The sequence below is a fragment of the Homo sapiens genome, chromosome 3 (genome assembly GCF_000001405.40).
Source record: "Homo sapiens chromosome 3, GRCh38.p14 Primary Assembly".
NCBI lineage: Eukaryota > Metazoa > Chordata > Mammalia > Primates > Hominidae > Homo > Homo sapiens.
Window position 1 is genome coordinate 149,140,812 of NC_000003.12, and position 14,483 is coordinate 149,155,294.

General features: G+C 40.0%; 1 protein-coding gene across 5 annotated transcripts in view; it reads left to right on the plus strand.

The window, feature by feature from the left end:
- Positions 1-14,483, plus strand: part of HPS3 (HPS3 biogenesis of lysosomal organelles complex 2 subunit 1) — a 44,095-nt gene that overhangs the window by 11,174 nt on the left and 18,438 nt on the right. For all 5 annotated transcript variants that reach the window (XR_001740328.3, NM_032383.5, NM_001308258.2 and 2 more), the window contains 6 exons: positions 206-377; positions 484-569; positions 4,543-4,735; positions 9,788-9,869; positions 12,683-12,837; positions 14,296-14,404. Coding sequence is in view for 4 of the 5 variants with exons in the window: in NM_032383.5 (NP_115759.2) it covers positions 206-377; positions 484-569; positions 4,543-4,735; positions 9,788-9,869; positions 12,683-12,837; positions 14,296-14,404 (797 nt within the window). In the remaining variant the exon portion in view is untranslated. The remainder of the gene's footprint in view (positions 1-205; positions 378-483; positions 570-4,542; positions 4,736-9,787; positions 9,870-12,682; positions 12,838-14,295; positions 14,405-14,483) is intronic.

Sequence of the window (14,483 nt, forward strand, 5' to 3'; positions counted from 1 at the left end):
AAATGGGGATGATAATACCTACCCTGTTGTACTTTATCAGTTGTGGAGATTAAATGAGCAAGTGCTAAGTCTTTTCACAACCACAGTGCCTTGTAAATGTGTGCATATTATAAATAAATGAAATTACTATATGTCTAATTGGTGAGAGGATGTTGTAAAATCTAATTTTCATTCAAGCAGGACTGTTACATTTTATTTTTTTAAGGCATCAGTAATGAAATTTCACAGCTTGAGTCAGATGATTTTGTCATCTGCCAGAAGCCCCTGGAACTTCTTGGTGAAAAAAGTGAACAGTCTGGATTATCTGTTACACTGGAGTCTACGGGATTAGCTGATGAAAAAAGAAAATATTCCCACTTTCAGCACCTGCTCTATAGGTATTATAGTGCTTTTTTTTTTTTTACCAGCATTTTATGTATATATGCCTGCTTAAAGTACATGGAAGTTATATTTTTCCCTTTCTCTGTCTTTTTAAACCCACAGACGTTTTGCTCCTGATATTTCGTCCTATGTCTTGTCTGATGACATCAAGCTACATTCCCTCCAGCTGCTACCCATTTACCAGACCGGTAAGCATGACAGTGCAGGAGTGCGACAGTGCAGCAAGGTGAAAATGCTCTGTCTGGGCTGGGAGTGAAGACCCATGTGGGTAATAGGTTTGGTGGTTTGGTTCTTCCACTGGAGTCTCCTTGTGGCCCTTTAACAAAGTTTTTTTTTTTGTTTTTTTTTTTTTTTTTTTTTGAGACTGAGTCTCGCTTTATTGCCAGTCTGGAGTGCAGTGGTGCGATCTCGGCTCACTGCAACTTCTACTTCCTGGGTTCAAGTGATTCTCCTGCCTCAGCCTCCCGAGTAGCTGGGACTACAGGCGCCCGCCACCAAGCCCGGCTAAATTTTTTTGTATTTTTAGCAGAGACGGGGTTTCACCATGTTGGGCAGGATGGTCTCGATCTCCTGACTTTGTGATCTGCCTGTGTTGGCCTCCCAAAGTGCTAGGATTACAGGCATGAGCCACCACACCCGACCTCTATTTTATTATTATTTATTATTTTTTTTCTTGAGACAGAGTTTTGCTCTTGTTGTCCAGGCTGGAGTGCAATGGTATGATCTTGGCTCACTGCAACCTCCACCTCCCGGGTTCAAGTGATTCTCCTGCCTCAGACTCCCGAGTAGCTGGGATTACAGGAATGCCCCACCACGCCCAGCTAATTTTGTATTTTTAGTAGAGATGGGGTTTCTCCATGTTGGTCAGGCTGGTCTCGAACTCCCGACCTCATTGATCCGCCCACCTCGGCCTCCCAAAGTGCTGGGATTACAGGTGTGAGCCACCACACCCGGCCCAAAATCCTTAGCAAATACCTATGAGTACTAGAAAGGGAAGTCATACCTGCTAGGAGAAGCCATGGAGAAGGCATGACAGACTGAACTCATTTCCCTTTTTGAAATGGCCTCTAGGCCCAAAAAGGAAATTGGAGACCTGTTAGAGCCAAGGTATGTGTGGGTTCTAGCTGGGTATTTGGCCAAGCTTCTTATGATTGGCTTGTGAATTAGGTGTAAAAATGTGGACTGAATGGAAAATAATTTAGAGCAGTTGTTTTCAACCCTGCCACACAATGGGCTTACCTGAATGCTTTTTAAGATATTGATACTCAGGCTCTACATGCAAGATATCAGTTACAGGGCCTGGGCATTAGTATTTTTTAAAAACTCCCCAAGAGTCTAATGGGCACCATGATTGAGAATCACTAATAGGCCCTGCACTCAGTTCTGGCCTGATTAACATCTTTAGATGTTATCTAGAGAAAGATACAAATATTATTCCGATTAAATGTGTTTCTAACCTTCATTTTTTTTTCTTTTAGTAAATATTTATTGAGTACCTACTATGTTGAGCATTGTGCTGAATACTAGGGAACTAACAGTGAGTGAAGTGCTTGCTCTTACGGAGCTAATTGTCTAGTGGGGGAAGGGAGACATTCGAATAACGGCAGATTCACAGTTGTACCCTGAAATGAGTGATCTGTGGTAAACCTCCCTGTGACAGCCTATAACAAAAGACCCTGACCTCATCTTGAGGTCAGGGAAGGCTTCCTGAGAAAGAGGATCTGAAGGGCGAATTGGACTCACTTGGGAATAGGGTTGGGTTGGTGCAGGGGAGGGGAAGAGAGCCTTCCAGGCAGAAGCAGCAGCAAAGGCTCTGTTGCAGAGGGAGGATCACATCTGAGAAACTGAGAGAAGCAAAACTAAGGGGGCTGCAGTGAGACAGGGCTGGAGACCAGACAGGGCCAATAGCCATATTAGAGGGTCAGCTAAAGATCCAGTGAGCTTCCCATAGCACTTGGAATAAAAACTCCAAATCCATTCCATGGCGTATATGACCTTAACTCTAAGCCCATCGTGTCCCACTCTCACCCTGCTTACTATTCTTCATCCATAGTGGCCTTTCCCTCTTCCTTAGAGACGCCACAGGCACGCTTATCTAAGACCTATTATTTGCTCTTCTTGTGCGTAGGGTACTCCTCTCAGCCTTGTGTGACTGGTGCATTTAAGTCATTCAGTTCGCAGCTGAAGTGTAACTTCATGACGGAGGACTTCTCTGACCTCTCAATTTAAAATATCCCTTCTCCACTCACACTGGAGTTTACTTGTTTACTCTCCATCCCAATCCCCATCACTAGAATGAAGGCTCTGTGAAAGCAGTTACGTTGTTTTGAACACTGTTGTATCCCTAGAATCTGGAACAGCAGCACTTAGTAGGTACCTGATGAATGCTGACTGAATAGACGAATGGATGGGTCATATGTATTTGAGCTGGGCCGTAATGGATGATAGAGATTTTGGAAAGATATTACATAATGGGAACCAACATTATATGAGGTGTAAAATTATGTGTATTTGGAGATTCGTGAGCAGTTCTCTTTGGCCAGAGCACAGATATATGTTAAAAAAGAATAGGGAGAAAAAAACTGGACAGTTGACTTTCAGCCAAATATGGAGAGTACAGAATTGGACTTCTGCTATTAATTGGTGTCCTTCAAGGGTGTCAGTCAGGGTACTTGTTAAACAACTTTGGTTATGAAAAATTACAGCCACATGTAGATAGAAAATAGTGCAGTGAACCCCCACGTACCCATCAAACAGCTTCAACAGTGTTGCTCCATGCTACATTATTTTGATGCACATCCCGGAGTTCATACCATTGCATTCATAAATATTTCAACATATGTCTCTAAAAGTATTCTTTTACTTAAACCCAAAATGCTATTTCACATTATAAAAAATTTGTTGCCGGGTGCGGTGGTTCACGCCTGTAATCCCAGCACTTTGGGAGGCTGAGGTGGGTGGATCACAAGGTTGGGAGTTCGAGACCAGCCTGGCCAATATGGCGAAACCCCGTCTCTACTAGAAAAAAAAAAAAAAAAAAATTAGCCAGGCATGGTGGTGGGCGCCTGTAGTCCCAGCTACCTGGGAGGCCGAGGCAGGAGAATCGTTTGAACCCGGGAGGTGGAGGTTGCAGTGAGCCGAGATCGTGCCACTGCACTCCAGCCTGGGTGACAGAGTGAGACTCCGTCTCAAAAAATAAAAATAAAAAAAATTTTGTTGATACCACCAGATATCCAGTAAGTGTTCACATTTCTCTAATTGACTAAAAAACTTCTGTAATTCATTTGTTTGAATCATATTCCAAATAAAGTTCATACATTGCAATTGATTGCTATGTCTTTTAAGGCTCTTTTAATATCTAGGCTTTCCTTCCTCTCTTTTCTTTGCATCTTATTTAACAAGAAATTAGACTCTTTACTGTAAAATTTCCAACAATCTGAATTTTGCTAAGTGAATCCTTACGTGTCATTTAACATGTTTCTCTGTCCACTGTATTTCCATTTGAGTTGGTAGATGGAAATCTATGCTGTTTAGTATGGTAGCCATTAGTCACATGCCGCTATTAAGCACTTGAAATATGACTAGTCTGAATTGAGATATGGCATAAGTATAAAATACACACTAGGTTTTGAAGACTAAGTACAAAAATGTATATAATATTAATTTTTGTGTTTATTGCTTCTTGAAATGGTAATATTTTTGATATGTTGGGTTAATACAATATTATTAAAATTTTACTTGTTTCTTTTTACTTTTAAAAATGTGATTACTAGAAATCTAGTAATTGCAGATGTGGCTCACATATTTCTATCAACATTGCTGGTCTATACTCAGGCTTGCTCAGATTATTTATTATTCTTTTTATTATTTTGAAACCCAAGTAGTGTTGAGCTCTGCCAGTGGACTCTTTTTGTGATGTTAACAGCCATTGATGATCATTACTTAGATCTGTTAATTTAGTAGGGGTTGTACAATGCCGATATTCTAATTATATTACTCCTTTTTTATTTCTTACCAACATTCTTCTATAAAGAGCAACTTCCCCTTTGCAACTCTTTGGTTACCCACTGATACAGTTTGCATAGCAAAGTCAATATATGATTATTTCCCCCTTTATTTACTGGTTTCATGGTGTTTTATTTCTTTCATTTTTGCATGCAGGTTCTCTTACATCTGATGGAAAAAATTTGTCTCAGGAAAAAGAATTGCTGAGTCTCTTTTGCTTTTTCTCCTTACCTCATGTGGGCTATCTCTACATGGTTGTCAAATCTGTTGAATTGATGTCAGTCTACCAGTATCCTGAAAAGTCTCAGCAGGCAGTACTCACGCCACAATTTTTGCACGTCATTACAAGGTACTGTTAGAGGGTCACTTGCTGGCCTGTGAGTCACTTATTTGTAAATTTTTGAGGTACTTCCTAAATCTGTGAGAATTGTGTGAACTAGCATAGAGTACTATAAATGCATGAGTTACATGTCATTGTAAGTCTGTCTTTTGATGACCCATACCTGCCTTTTCAATGTCAAAGATTTAGACTCTGGTTTTGTCTTTGTTTGTTTCCCTAGACTGGATAGGGGTCCCTGTAAGGAAGTATAAGGTTCTTCATAAAGGAAGACTTTCATAGGGAGTTTTAATGAAAAGTCAATGCAGCCAGTCAGAGCGTCTCTTTAAGTTTCTTTTTAGATTTCCTAAATTTTTTTTCTCACTGCTACCATATTTTTCTAGTATAAATTGAGTTATTTATAATAGTTTAGAACTGTGAAGGGGCCAGAGAGATGATCTGATTCTCTCCTTGATTGGCACAGATAGGGAAGTTGTTACAGAGAGGTTAGAATTGGCCAAAGTCATGTGCTAATTGGTGGCAGATGTGTTGAGTTGCCTTCCCCTATTATGCTGGCATGTAAACTGGGTTCACAAGCAGTAGCTTGATTTCATTTCCTTTTAATCTCAGCAGCATATGATGGTTTTGGTTCTATTTCCTGTTTTTTGAGCTTAGATTATGTTCAGGGCACTTCCTTGTGCCCTCTGACCATGCAACTGTGAATAAGATACACCAACCACTTTCTAAAGCAACAATAGAAGAGAAGGTTAGAGAGACACACAAGAGTCACAGACACTAGGAGATTTGCGAAAAATGTCTTAAGACCTCATGAAAGTGCCATTGACATTGGGAGGAGGGAAGTTACTTCTGGCTAAGTTGTATGGGGAAGTTGTGGATAGCTGATTGTGTTTGAAGTGAAGCATGAAAGCTAGCTAGAATTTTGGTAGATGAAGATTGAAAGAGATGTGCATTATAGATTGAAGGAAGACTATAAACAAAAACTGTATCAAGTTTTTAGGAACATCCAAAAATTAATTGCACAGGACAGAGATCACCCCACCACTGAGTGGTAGTATCACAATCTCTAGCAGGTGCTGGAGATTCCAAACTGCATAGAACCAATCTGGAGATTCTGATATCCACTCTTAGTGGTTGCACTCCCTTCTCCACCTGATTTCTGGCTTAAGGAGAAATGCTGCTGATGGCAGTGTGTTTCTTAAGTGAACAATGTGGAGGTAGCTACTCTTTCCAGTGTCCAAAGTGTTGTGTAGTGATGTTCTTTAAATATGAAGAAGCTGAAAAGTAGACAGGTGGTGAAAACAGTGCTTGAAAAGAGAGCTCAAGGATTTGAAAATTAAACTAAGGACTTTTTTTTAAAGTTTTAACCAGAGAAAGTAATATGATCAGAACATTGTTTTAGGAAAATTAATGGTGGCTGTTGTGGAAGATGGATTGAACATAGATAAATAAGCTATTGGAATAGTTCAGGCAAGGATATTAAGGGGCGGTATTCAGGCATGGTAGTGTTAATGAAAGGAGAAGGGAGGATGCATGGGAGAGGCTTCAGTGGGAAAGTTAAAAGACTTGTCTGATGGGATAATGGGGATGTAGGAGGCATGAAAAATCCCACCAAGGTTTTGCCTGCTTTTATGAAACAATGGAGGCTGGTGAAATGTGGGGCAAAAGAGATGTTTGGTTTAGACATTTGAGTTTGAGATGCTTATAGATTATCAAGACATAATGCTAAGTAGGCTTTTGGACACATAGAACTGTAGATTAGGGTAAAGAGGAAAGCTTAGAAGTTTTACTACCGCCAAAAAAAAAGTTGATTATTAAAGTAGTGAGAGTATGTAGATAGTGAAAAGTTATTAAAGAATTAAACTCTGGTGAAGGTCTTGCTCAGCAAGCAAGAGGAGAAAGACAAAGATTTTTAAGGATGCAGAAGAATCTAGGAAACTATACCATCTCAGAAACAATGGAAAAAGGGAAAAGAAAGGAATATACTAATTTCTGTCCCATCATATAGATGTAAAAGACTATCCATCTTTTTCCCATCTGATTGCATATACTTGAAGTACACTGAGAATTTAGTGAGTGGACCCACTAAATCTGTTGCCCCATCTCTCTTATTTATAAGTTATGTACATATTTGGAGTGTAGAGCCCTGAAAGCATTATATTATGGGTTTGAATGGACTTGTAATGCGTGGGTTTTGACTGCCTCCAGACAGGACATTTTTGAGCTTTTCTTATTATCAGCACTAAAGGAGACTGACATCATTAACTTCACTGTGAAACCATTAGACATTAGAATAGCAGTTGTTTTATGTAAATTCAGATTCTTAATAAGAATCTCCACTCCTGTTTTTCAAATCAAATCGGAGTTTCTCTTTTGTTGCCCAGGCTGGAGTGCAATGGCGCGGTCTCAGCTCACTGCAACCTCTGCCTCCCGGGTTTAAGCAATTCTCCTGCCTCAACCTCCCAAGTCGCTGGGATTATAGGCACCTGCCGCCATGCCCGACTAATTTTTTTGTATTTTTAGTAGAGATGGGGTTTCACCATGTTGGCCAAGCTGGTCTCCAACTCCTAACCTCAGATGATCCACCCGCCACGGCCTCCCAAAGTGCTGGGATTACAGATGTGAGCTACTGCGCCCGGCCCATCTTTTTTATTTTACCCGATAGATAAATGTTTCAAAATCTCTTGTCCCATAAGGTGGTCTTGAAAAGTTTCTGGAAGATAGGTATACGCCTAAAGAAAGCAATAGAGATTTTTTTAAGAAGCAAAGAACAAAATAAAATCATGTAAAATGCCAACTTTATAGAAACGTGTAAGTAGGAAAGCCCCCCATGAAATCCTATTCTCCCAGAGTTAAGCATATCAAGACTTTTTTTTTTTTTTTTTTTTTGAGATGGAGTGTCGCTCTGTCGCCCAGGTTGGAGTGCAGTGGCGTGATCTCAGCTCACTGCAACCTCCACCTCCCTGGTTCAAGCAATTCCCCTGCCTCAGCCTCCTGAGTAGCTGGGGTTACAGGTGCCCATCACCATGCCCGGCTAATTTTTTTGTATTTTTAGTAGAGGCGGGGTTTCACCATGTTGGCCAGACTGGTCTGGAACTCCAGACCTCAGGCAATTCGCCCACCTCAGCCTCCCAAAGTGCTGGGATTACAGGCATGAGCCACCATGCCCGGCCATTTTTTTTTTTTTGTTGTTGTTTTTACAATGCATGTACTACTATGCCTTATTTATTACAGAAATTGATCATGCTCTGTCCACTGTTCAGCAACTTGCTATTTTACATAGCAGCATATCTTGGACATCTTTCAATGCCAGCACATTTCAGTTTATTCTTTCTCTAGTATACATTTCTGCTTAGGATTCCAACAGTAGCCAATAGACTGGATTCCTACAGGTGGAGGTAAGTCAGGGAACCCTGCCTTTTTTTTTTTTTTTTTTTTTTGAGACAGAATCTCACTCTGTCACCCAGGCTGGAGTGCAGTGGCACGATCTTGGCTCACTGCAAGCTCCGCCTCCCGGGTTCATGCCATTCTCCTGCCTCAGCCTCCCGAGTAGCTAAGACTACAGGCGCCCACCACCACGCCCAGCTAATTTTTTTTTTTTTTTTGTATTTTTAGTAGAGACGGGGTTTCACTGTGTTAGCCAGGGTGGTCTCGATCTCCTGACCTCATGATCCGCCTGTCTCGGCCTCCCAAAATGCTGGGATTACAGGCTTGAGCCACCACGCCTGGCCGAAACCCTGCCTTTTTATCTCTAAAATCTAAAGGCTATTTGTTTTTGCGGTCATAGCTATTCTCATCTGTCCTTCCGGTCCCACTGCAGGTGCTTTTTTGCTTCCCTCTCTCTCAGTTTACTTCCCAAGGTTGCTAACTCTACTCCAGATTTGTAAGTGGTAGTGCTACTGTCCTAGTTATTGTCAGGACTCCAGAGGTCATTTCCTAGAACGTTGCAGAGATAGACAGAGATGGCTGAGGCTGAAGTGGAAGCACCAGCAGATGGAGAGAGGCCTGACTACCTCTTAAATTGTGCTAAGCCTCCTAACTGAAAATATCAGAATGCCTTTTTTTATGAGGACATTTTTTAAATTTAATATTACTGTTAGGTTTGCTTTAGTCTTTTTTTTTATTTTAAAGAGTTCGTTTTTACTTCTCCCACTTTCTAGTTTTTTTAAAAAGGGAGGGAGAAGGAAGGAATAAAAATATCAATTTCTGTCCCGTCACATAATGGAACAGAAATATACATCATTGTGTAGCAATTTCTAAGTTAATTAACTGTTTTTAATGTCAATATTCGAGGGTTGACCTAGATAACAACCACAGATGACAACCAGGCATCTATTGTGCACTTACTGTGGAGTCCCTAGGTCCTTTTTGTATGCAGAAGCAGCCTGGAGTTGTGGAAAGAGGTAGAGGAGTGTGAGGGGTCAGGAGACCTGGGATCTAATTGGCTCTACTCTCCAGAGAGGCGGTGGACCAGTCATGAACCTTTCATGCCCCAATCTTTAAAACAAGCTGCTGGACTAGGTAATTCTGAAGATGCCTTCAGATGGTCTCTCATTTTCAATTCGACCATTGGATTTGAGTTTGCATAGTCTGTGTTGTCCAGCATAATCCAGGATGGATTTCATCATGAGGTGGTTGAGGAAGAACAACAGTTAAGAAATGGATTTTACTCTTGGTTTTGATAGACACCCATCTGTACCTTGGGCAGGTACTGGGGGCATCATTTGTCTGTAAAATGAAGATACTGACCCAGATCCATGGTTCCTAACTAGGGATGCACATCAGAGTCACATATGGAGTTTTGTAGAAATGTACACGTCCAGATTCAGCCCCTAGAGATTGCGATTCACTAGGGGTGTTATGGGGACCAGTTGTATATTTTTAAAAACACACCACAGGGATTCTGAGGCATTCCTCTTATTGAGAAGAAGTTTAACTTGGCAATATTTGACAAATACTTGACTGTCACCCCTGCCCATTGCCCTGTTTGCCTGTGAAACCCTCCCTGCTGTGGGTATGTTGGTTCTTGGCCTCACTTTGCTCAGCAGCCTGTGTCTTCCTCCTCAGTAACAACCTGCAGTGTTTCACTGTGCGGTGCAGTGCGGCGGCAGCTCGTGAGGAGGACCCGTACATGGACACCACCCTGAAGGTAAGAACTGGCTTATGAAGATAGTGAAACCTTAAGATCACAAGGGAGCACATGAATACTCGTAGATTTGCTCTCAGACCTAAGCTAGGCAAGAACAAAAGAGCTTAAGGTTGTCTAATGTATTGAATTAGAACTTTTGGATGTAAAATAGTGAGGATTTTGTGATTCATGGCTTAGTTGACAGTTTTTAAGATTGCTTTGCAAACATTTCACTCCGAATTGATTTAGTGCATAGTTTTTAAAGTTTGGTAAAGAATATAAAAAGTGTGAACTGAGAGCAGTTCACAACTACTGTATGCTACAATTTTATTTTTTATTTTTTTGATTTTAACTTTTAATTTTTTCGAGGCAGGGTCTTGCTCTGTCACCCAGGCTGGAGGGCAGTGGCAAAGTCATAGATCACTGCAGCCTCGAACTCCTGGACTCAAGTGATCCTGCCACCTCAGCCCCTCAAGTAGCTGGGACTACAGGTGTGCACCACCATGCCCTGCTGATTCTTTTTGTATTATTATTATTATTATTATTTTTTTTTCTGCAGAGACAGGTTTTGCCGTGTCGCCCAGGCTGGTCTTGAACTTCTGGGCCCAAGCGATCTGCCTGCCTCAGCCTCCCAAAATGGTGGGATTACAGGCATGAACCACCATGCCTGGCCCAATTGTATTTTACTAAATGGAAATACTGGTGGCAGTTTTACAGAGCTGTTAACAAAACAGTCCAGAAATCAATATACTTAAGAGCACAAAATTGAATACGATGCATTAAAATGATTTATTTATACTATTATCAGCTATGCCTGTAATTCTGTATTTTATAAGCCTTTGATAACCTTCTATACTTAATCGAAGAGTTAATGGTTATGGTAGATCAATAATCTCATTTTTAGTGAGAAGTAAAGTGCTTGGTTTCTAAAAAAAAAAAAAAAAAAAAAAAAAAAAAGCCTCTTGACCACAGAATAAATGTAGGCATTATTATGTTGAGATTCGGTGTTTTCTGACTTTGAATTTCTGTTCTCAGAAATACACTGATCATTTACATTATATTGATCTATGTTATTTTACTTCTGAAGTATAAGCTATTTGAATTGGATATTTGTTAGGAATATACATGCTGCAAGAAGCTCCCAAATTATCATGCTCTGTGTTTCAAAAATTGGTTTATATCTGTCTGGAAACTGGAATACCTTTTTCCAGAAGGATAAGCCTTCAGTAATGGTGGTTATCTTAACAAGCCAGCCCCGACTTAGTGCCTAATGTGTCTGAGATACTCTTTCACGGTCACTGTCACCCAAACTGTGTCATATGATAGTGTTTTATGGCAAGCATGGTCTCTGAGTTCCTAGTGACCCTTTTTAATGGCCTGCCTGTGGTTTTCTGTTGCTGACCAGGCTTACTGCCTGCTGTCAGCCTCTTGGGAAACCAGAACCACAGATTTCCTGTGCCTTTGTTTGTATAAGATACACACATGGCCTTTTTGAGAGATTACTTTAAAATCAGGATTATTTCCTTTGTAAAAATAGAAAAGTAACAGATTAAAAAAATAAAACTTCCATTCTTTGTCCTCTTCTTTCCCCTCCTTGCGTTTTCAAACCTCAGAAAGACATAGGCTTATATAGGGGTGATGGTGTAATTTAAAGTACCTAATAGATTGAAGTAGGATCAATGTACCTTTGGAAAAAAAATAATTCCATGTATTTTCAGAGTCTTATAAAAGGCAGAATGAAGGAACAAGGAAGAGACAAAGGGGAGGGATAAGGAGAGGTGGGCATCTGGTGGAGGTATGCTGCCCTTGAGGCCAGTGGAGGTAGGAGGGGGAAGGCATAATCACACCTCACGGTTCCTCCTTTCCTGGGACTCCACCAGTTCTGAAGCCCTAGGTGCCAGTTAAACAAGCACACGTTTAGCCCACCTGCTGACTCAGGCTTTGGAGCTGTGATGTCTGAAAAAAGTTTCACAACCTCAAGAGTCTGGTTGAAAGTGCTTGTGGTCTGTCTCCTTTTCCTCTGAGATTCTGACTCCTCAGCACTAACCAAGCCACCTTAACTATTTTTACATGGAGGTAACAATGAAGATGACCTCAGAATCAAAACAGCATGCATGGACAAGAAGGCAGGGTCCTGGCAGCATCATTTTGTGAGCTCCCAGAATAGAGCTCTTCCATTAGTTTTCTTATTCATTCTACTTGAATTAATGGTCCTTTACAAGAGCAAAAGGCTGGCTCCTCTAGTTTACCTGACATGTCCCAGCCTGTCCGCCATTCCAGGCACTATTCGTACCTAACAGACTAACAGTCAGGGGCCATCGGAACATACAAGCATTTCTTTCACACACACATCCGCAAAGAAACCATTTTATGTACTCTACAAGCAGTAGAATGTCCTTTCATAGTGTCTGGTTTTTCCTAAAAACCCCATTTGGGCGTACCCCCAACCATCCTGCTAGTTGTGGGGGTTTCCCTGGGTGGCAGAGTACCAGCTTCATCTCCTGGAGGTATCTGTGGAGCCACTCTGTGGGGCACACACACAAGTTCCTGCAGCTGTGGGACCCTCTTTCCGTATTTATTCAATCAATCAATAACTGAGTTTGTTGGCTGAGTAGCTCTATGGAATACACTATTGGTTACATAGGTTTAGATAACCTCTTCTGTTAAGAATAGGAATCTGGGTTGGTCTTTTGTTTGTTTGTTTGTTTTTTGGTGGTGGTGGGTATGGGATGGTGGCAGCAGAAGAGATTTGATCAAATAAACTGACTGATTTTTGAAGATTGAAGTGCATGTACCTTTATTTCTTGCTTAAATATGTGATTTTCCTTTACTAGGCTTGCCCACCTGTCAGTATGGATGTCTGTGCTTTAAGAATACAGCTTTTCATAGGCTTGAAAGCCATCTGTCACTTTAAAAACCACATCATACTTTTGACTAAAGCAGAACCTGAAGCCATTCCAGAGAGAAGACAGTCACCCAAGAGGCTTCTGTAAGCATCCCCTTGCCCCAGGCATTCCTGCCAGTTTCTGGAATGAGTTGTAACTGGTATATTTTGTGTTTATCTTTTTTCAAATCATAACTTGGAATGATCAAATGGCTTTTTTATGGTGGTCTTTTTCCAGAGAAAGAAAAGAAGGTTCTAACAATCTCTGTAATACACTTTATAACTGACCTGGAAACTTTTAGGAGAAAATGGATTATAAAATAGTTTCAGTAAAAATCAAAGGTGTTTTAGATTAGTTAAAGGCCATGCTTTTCTGTGTAATTAATGAGAAAGACTGAGCCTATAATGCTAATTGAAACTACAGGACTTTTTACTGTCTTTCTTCTTTGACCCTTTCAGTTGTTACATTTTTATCTAAAATTATTTTCTGATATTATGAAAGAAATTAATAATGTATGTCTTACCTTAAAGCACATTTATGATCTATAGATATGTGCTCATGTATCTGAAAATAAAGTTGTATTTTGATAACATTCATCTCTTGTTATTTATTAGGTTTCTGCTTTCCCATTGTTTAGAATAGAATGCTTAATTCCAGACTAGTTATGCTTCTATTTGATGTTTTCCTACTTAGTGGTAGAGAATGCAATCTAATTTCTCTAAGGAAAATTTAATCAAGAAAGAAATCTCTTCAGGGAGTGAAGCATATAGTGTATTTCATATCAAACATGGGTTATTTTTAACATAGATTTTTACTTTTTCAAATTGTTAGTGGCTGTGCTTTGTTGCATCAACAGGAATCAGAGGTTGACTTTGGTAACTGATCACTTTGAGTGTACACAGAGTGGTCTGGGGCTGACTGATCCTAAAAGCTTTCTGGGGAGAGGAAAAGCAGTTTGTAGTCTTGCACATTTGACATTCTAATAGTATAATTTTTTAAATGATGTTTTAAAAATTCTAATTCATTTGAAAATTCATTTGATAAACAATTATAAAAGATTGTACACTAAAGAAAATGTATCACATAGTGAAAGCAAGAGATAAGATAGTGCTTTAAGCAGACTTAACAGTTTTATGTGTCTTCATCATATTCTCAGCAGCCATGATGTTGCTTCTGCTTAGATTTGTGGCTCAGGGCATGCTAGACTCATGAAAGTCAAATGCAGAAAAGAGCCTGGGTATAGGGACTTCCGCAGTCAAGGATCTTTTCCTCTTGATGGGACTTGCCTGTTCTTTGAACTTACTGCTCATTTGAGAATACTTGCAGAGTGAATTGGAAGCAGTTGGTTTATCATTACATGAAAATTACAGAATATTAAATGCAGTTAGCCTATGTAGTATTGTGAACTAATATTCCATAGAAATAGAGTGTACAGTTAATCACTGAGGAAAATAGTAAATGAAAATGATTTTATAGTTATTTTATATCCAATATTTACCATTTACAACTACCATTTATTAATAATGTCATTTTAAAATTCTTGTCCTTTGTTTTGCTTTTAGTTCGAGAAAAGATACCAGTGTTAAAATCAAAATACCTCCTGTAGCTGAGGCTGGGTGGAATTTGTATATTGTGAATACGATCTCACCAGTGCAGCTGTACAAAGAGATGGTACTCTTTTCAAACTTCTGATTCTTGTTTGTAGATATTTAGAGTGAAATTAATGATCAGAAATTGATTCTAATTATCA